We start from the raw sequence: 7,084 nt of genomic DNA, 5'->3' as shown, positions 1-7,084 counted from the left end.
TATCTGTACTTCCATGTTCATTGAAACATTATTGACAATAGCCAAGACATGGAAGCAACCTAAATGACCTTCAATGAATGAATGAAGAAAGAAATTGTGGTATATATACACAATGATATTTTATTCCACATTAAAAAAGAATAAAAAGATTCTTCCATTTGCAACAACATGAATAGATGTGGACGGTATTATATTCAGTTATATAAGCCAATCACAGAAATACAAATACTATATGATTTCATTTACATGTGGAATCTAAAATAGTCAAACTTACAGAATCATAAAATAGAATGCTGGTTTCCAGGAACTGGATAGAAGAAAATGGGAAGGTGATAGTTGAAGGATACAGAATTTCAATTATGCAAAATAAGTAATTTTTGCGACTCTACTATGCAGCATAGTGTCTAGAGCTAATAATACTTTATTATACACTTTACAGTCATGAAGAGAGTAGATGTTATGTTAAGTGTTTTTATCACAATAATAGTAATGGTAAATAAAAAGTGTAGGAGAAAAGTTTTGGAGGTGAGGAATAGGTTCGTGGCATAGATTGTGGTGATGGCTTCATGGGTGTATACTTATCTCCAAACTCATCAAGTGGTACATATTAAATATCTACAACTTTTTTTCATTAATTATAGTTCAACAGAATTGTTAAAAGAACTAGACTTTATAAAAAATGTAACTTGTTTGTTTGTTTTTCCAAGAAACAATGACTTAGAGAGGCATATAAAGAATGGTTAATTTTTTTAGCAATACAAGAAAAACAAATGTGTTTGGTTTATTAAATTTAACCAATTTAACACATCCAGCACTATAGTCAAGATTTTCTAGTAAATCCTGTGTTGTTTCTGGTGTAATTCGACCTCTGTTAAAATTTTTCAGCTCAAATAAAATTCTTTTGCCATTTCTAAAACACTTGTTTTATGATTTTCTATTGAACTGTTACTGATTGAGCATCAGTTACAGCCTTCCCACTGACATGGCAGGTCAGGTTCTGGATGAAGATCTGACCCCCTACACAATGACTGCCTCCTGAATTTCTAGTAAGTGAAAAGAAGAATGGGGTAAATGGAAGACAACTGGCATTGGCACTGACACATGGGAAAAGAAATCCAATATGCCATCTATAAACAAGAAAGTACTGAAGAGTTTCTGCAGGGCAGAGGAAAGGCAGGGCTGGCTTGAGGTAAGAACCAACAGGTAAATAATGTGAGACAATGCTCACTGGGGAAATCAGCCCAAAGGGAATCTGGGAACACACGTCACTGGGTAAAAGGGGTTGCAAGCAAAGACCAGAGCAGGCGGGGACAGAGATGAAGGGCAGAGCCAGGCCAGAACCTTCCACAGTCAGTGCCCACTCTCCAGAGCTGAAATGGAAGAGGCTGGGGCCATTGGGAATGGGAATGGTGTCAGGGAAAGCCTATGGGTGGGGATCTAAGATCTGTGCCTGCAGGTGACCTTGCACCTGGACAATGAATGGGAGAATCAAAGGGAGCATGCCTGCAAGAGACCCTGGGAAGGGACAGGGAGGCTCGATGAGGGACAGGAGCAAAGCTTAGGAGACCCCCAAGTGAAGATGATGCACAGGATACCATTTGGAATTCTGACCATTGAAAATTCACTTTGTGAAACTATTTTTAAGACAGAATAGCCTTTTCTAATTAATTTGTAAGAGCATGTTATGGTCTGAATGTTTATGTCTTTTCCAAATTCATATGTTGAAGTTGTGGCCTTCAAGGTAATGGTATTAGGAGGTGGGGTCTTTGGGAATAGCATTAGTGCCCTTATAAAAGAGAGCCCTGAAAACTGTCTTGCCCTTCCAGCAGGTGAGAACACTGCTAGAAGATGGGCATCTATGAACCAGAAAGTGGCCCTCACCAGATACGGAATATAGTATCTTGATCTTGGACTTCCCAGTCTCCAGAACCATGAGGAATAAATGTGCTGTTTATAAGCCACCAGTTTAGGGTATTTTATTTTAGCAGCCCAAATAAACTAAGACAGAGCTCATTAATATTAAAATAGAAACATTTTCTCTTATACTGTCTATGTTACACACATTTTCTTCCCAGTGGACAATGGACTTTAGCAATCTTTTAAATCTTTTAAATACATTGGTTCTCAGCTCTATCAATGTTTTCCTGCGTGGGTTTTGGCTATGGTGTTCCCTGAAAGGCCTTTCCCAAACTCTTCACCTCCCACTGGTGCCTCTTCCCCACTGAGTAACAGAGGAGATTCTCCATTTGTTCACATCTTTATGTCCTCTGAAAAGGTCTTATAGTTCTGTTCACAAAAGTCCTGTATTTAAATTCTGTGCCACTTATTAATATTGTTTTCCAATAACATTTTCTAAGCAGTTACTTCTAATTTATAGAAACTTTGGGGCTTTTTGATTTCTTTTTTAACCAGTCTTGATTTTCTTGTGTTTTTCAGCACACCAATGTACTTTTTATAACTAATGATTATTTACCACTAAAACTTTCTGTTATTTGTGACTTCTCATATTCCTTCCAGTCTTGTAGTAATACTTATTGCTTACAGAAAAATGTGAATTACAGAGATAATGGCAAATAATCTTGCTTCATTAGAAACTTTAATAAGAATAACACTACAATTCCAAATTATTTATAAAAACAGCCATGCATTAGTCAATCACTAAGTGTGGATCAGGAGGATGCAATTGTTTCTTGGTATCCACAGGGGATTGGTTCCAGGACTCCAGTGGATACCAAAATCCACAGATGCTCAAGTTCCTTATATAAAATGACATAATACAGTTGACACTGTGTATTTGAGAGTACTGAACATGAGGAGTCAACCAACTATGAATGGAAAATACTTTTAAAAAAAGAATAAAAAATAGTACAATAGTAAAAACTAATACAAATAAAAAGCAACACAGTATAAGTATTTACATAGCATTTACTTTGCATTAGGTATTACAAGTAATTTAGAGTTAATTAAAGGTATATTGATGTTTATAGTTCTATGCAAATACTGTGCCATTTTATATAAAAGATCTGAGCATTCACAGATTTTGGTATCCATGGAGGTCCTGGAACCAATCCCACATGAATACCAAGGGATGAGAGTATTTGCATGTATAACAGCCTACACATTCTACTGTATACTTTAATCAACTCTGGATTACTTATAATACTTAATACAATGTAAATGCCATCTAAATAGTTGTTATACTCTATTGCTCATTTGTTGTTGTTGTTTTGAGACAGAGTCTTGCTCTGTCGCCTAGGCTGGAGTGCAGTGGTGCAATCTCAGCTCACTGCAACCTCTGCCTACTGGGTTCAAGCAATTCTCTTGCCTCAGCCACGCGAGTAGCTGGGACTACAGGAATGCGCCACCACGCCTGGCTAATTTTTGTATTTTTAGTAGAGAAGGTGTTTTACCATGTTGGCCAGGCTGGGCTTCAGTTCCTGACCTCAAGTGATCTGCCCGCCTTGGCCTCCCAAAGTGCTGGGATTACAGGCATGAGCCACCACACCCAGCCTCTGTATATCTCTTTATTTATATTTTTCAAAATTGTTATATTGTTATTTTTGTTGTTAGTTATTTTTTCAAAGACTGTTGATCCAAGGTTGGTAGAATCTACAGATGTGGAACCTGAGGATACTGAAGGCCAACTTTATACTGTCTAAAATTCTATAAAAAGCTTTGTGAAACTATTAAAGTAGATATCTTTTTAATCCCTCAATACCACAATGTGATGAACTCTATTAATTTCCTAAGGTTAAATTATTCTCCAGTCAATACGCACTTCTGGGTTGATAGAATTTTGCCCCTCAGAGCATTGTTTTGGCAGATTTTGTTGGTAGGGAGATGCTTACTCTCAATCTAACAGTGGTTCCACCGTTGGTATTTTTATTTTCTCTCCTGCAGGTCCACCACGTATAGGTGTTCATGTTATATACTTTACAAACTAAAAAGTGCCATTACAAAACAGTCCATGTGCAGTGCACAGCCAGCGAATCTATGAGCAAAAGCCTTTTAGCTTTCAGGTTTTCTAAAACAGATTTATTTCCATGTATTCTAGTCAGCATGTGGTGTACACGTGGAATCTGGATTCTCATGTCTCTTTTATTCTGGAAACAGTTTATTGCCGATTTCAATATTGGCTTTCTGTCACTCTTTCCTGCTCTCTTCTGGAGATCCTATTTAGACATGTCCTTGCTTCTGTCAATCTGCCCTACATATTTCTTAACTACTTTTCCTATTTTATTTCAAAATCTTTTTATCTCTCTAATTAGATTGTATATCTGTTTATTGTTTTTCCATCTTGTTTTTATTTTTTTTTTTTCTCACTCTGGGCTTAACCCTAAACAAATTCTTTTTAGTACAATTGTCTAAATAAATGTGTTAACTATTTATTTGTAGCCCGTATATAGTTTCTCCCATTTGTTGTTAATTTCTATTTTAATGACCATGTTTAACTCTAAGTTTTGTTTATATTTTAGGAAGTATTTTTTATTTAAATAAACTTGTTGATTCTAGCATGGTTTTAGAGTTTCAGAGAAATTGCAAAGATAACAGAGCTCTCTTATACTCTGCACCTGGATTCCTTTATTGTTAGTGAATATTTCAGGTTGGTATTAAACATTTGTCACAACAAATAAAGCAAAATAATACATTATTATTAACTAAATCCTTTATTTAGATTTCCTTAGTTTTACCTACTGTTCTTTTTTATTCTAGAATCCCACCAGGATATCATGTTACATTTAATCATCGAGGCACTTTGGTCTTTTCTTAGCTGTAAGTGTTTTAATTGAATATCCCAAAAAAGTTTATTAGGAAAGACTGGGACAAGCTCTTTTTTACTAACAGAACAACTGAGATCCTCTTTTCATATCTGTAGAACCCATACTGACTTCTATTTTGTCTTCATGTGCACATGCTCTATAGGGAACTGTTAGATGAAAGTTGCTCCCGTGGCTTCCTGATTTGCTGAGATGGTGTAAAAAGGTATGTAAATAGTGATTGTATCAACTGCTGGCATCACCCTGTTGTAGAATATACATTTTTTTTTCTTTTTTGAGACGGAGTCTCATTCTGTCTCACAGGCTGGAGGGCAGTGGTGCTATCCCGGCTCACTACAAACTCTGCCTCTCAGGTTCAAGCAATTGTCCTGCCTCAGCCTCCTGAGTAGCTGGGATTACAGGCATGTGCCACCATGCCCGGCTAATTTTTGTATTTTTAGTAGAGATGGAGTTTCACCATGTTGGCCAGGCTGGTCTCGAACTCTTGACCTCAAGTGATCTGCCCACGTCAGCCTCCCAAAGTGCTGAGATTACAGGTGTGAGCCACCATGCCTGGCCAGAATATACTTTTAATTAAATAATTTTAATCTTGCTGCTTCTACTTTACTTTTTTTTTTTTTTTTTGAGACAGAGTCTCACCTTGTCACCCAGGCTGGAGTGCAGTGGTTCGATCTCGGTTCACTGCAACCTCCGCCTTCGGGGTTCAAGCGATTCTCCCACCTCAGCCTCCCCAGTAGCTGGGACTACAGGCACACACCATGTTCTTGGTTAATTTTTATATTTTTGGTAGAGATGAATGTTTCACCATGTTGGCCAGACTGGTCTCGAACTCCTGACTTGAAGTGATCTGTCGGCCTCAGCCTCACAAAGTGCTAGGCATGAGCCACCATGAGCCTCCATGTCCAGCCTACTTTACTATTATTACCAAAACAAAAGGCCTAACCCTAAAGCAATAAAAAAAAGTCATAATTTTGACTACATATAAATGAAAAACCTCCCTACACTAAAATAAAATGATTAAAAAGGAAAATTACAAGCTGGTGTGGTTTGAGTGTGTCCCCAGAGTTTATGTGCTGGAAACTCAATCCCCAATGCAACAATGTTGAGAGGTGGGACCTTTAAGAGGGTGATTATGTCATGAGGGCTCTGCCCTTAAGAATGGATCAATGCTCTTATCAGGGGTGTGGGTTCCTGGCAAAAGGTAAGTTTGCCCCCTTCTCTTTCTCTCATGTGTGTGCTGTCTTACCCTTCTGCCCTTCCATCATGAGATGATGCATCAAGAAGGCCCTCACCAGATGCAGCCTCTCAATCTTGGACTTCCCAGCCTCCAGAACCATGAAACAAATAAATTTGTTTATTGTAAATTACCTAGCATCTGGTATTCTGTTAAAGCAGCAGAACATGAACTAAGATACTAGTTGACCTGAAAAAAGTTAGTTCATGAAGGCTGAGGGTTAATTGTTTTAATGTAATAAAGTTAAAAAAAATCCATGTGGAAAACAAGGAAGAATGCAGTAGAAAAATGGCAAAAGATCTTAACAAGAACTTCACATACACTAAATCTAAATAAATATAATGAAATAAATATTAAACATGCTAAAATTTATTCACAGTGAAAAATGTAGGTGTACTTGGTATCAATAAAAAATATAGCACAATTGACTGATCAAGAGAACAGCAAGATGCTAACTCTCTTAGGTAACAGAATCATCAGTGGTGCCCAAGCTTGAGAGGATTCTATGACAATACTGATGGCAGCAGATGCTGTTGCTGCCCCACCTGCATCTCCTCTGTACCATAATGTCAAAGCAGACTAGTCTGACTTCCAGCTGCTGAGCACCTGCTTCTCTTCCACCAAGGGCTCGCTCTGCCCCAGGCTGCTCATTCAGGGAACATAGGAGGTGGAGGAAATCACATCCACCCTCTAACCAATAACTTACTGGAGTTGGTGGTGGACACCTCAGTGCCCAGCGTTCTCTGGGATGCATACACTGAGGTGTATGCTTCATTCTCACTCTCAAGAGTTCCCCAATTGGTAACTTGCTGGCTCAAACACTTACTGCTTTTCTTTGCTTCTCTTCTGATGTTTCCCATCATCTGTTGACAAAGAAACTAATTGCACTTGAATTTTTATGTCAGGGTCTCTTTTTTGGGGGAACCTAAACTAAAACACTGATATTTGTGTAACTGTGAACAGCTTACAAGGGGCTTTCCCATTCATGATGTCAGCCTTATTAAGTGCATAGGAGGAGTCACTGTGTGAATTTTACAGCTACATTGAGGTTCAGAGAGATTGAGCGATGCGC

Source organism: Homo sapiens, chromosome 5 (genome assembly GCF_000001405.40).
Source record: "Homo sapiens chromosome 5, GRCh38.p14 Primary Assembly".
In the NCBI taxonomy this organism is placed as follows: Eukaryota; Metazoa; Chordata; class Mammalia; order Primates; family Hominidae; genus Homo; species Homo sapiens.
Note: the sequence above shows the minus strand (reverse complement) of the source record.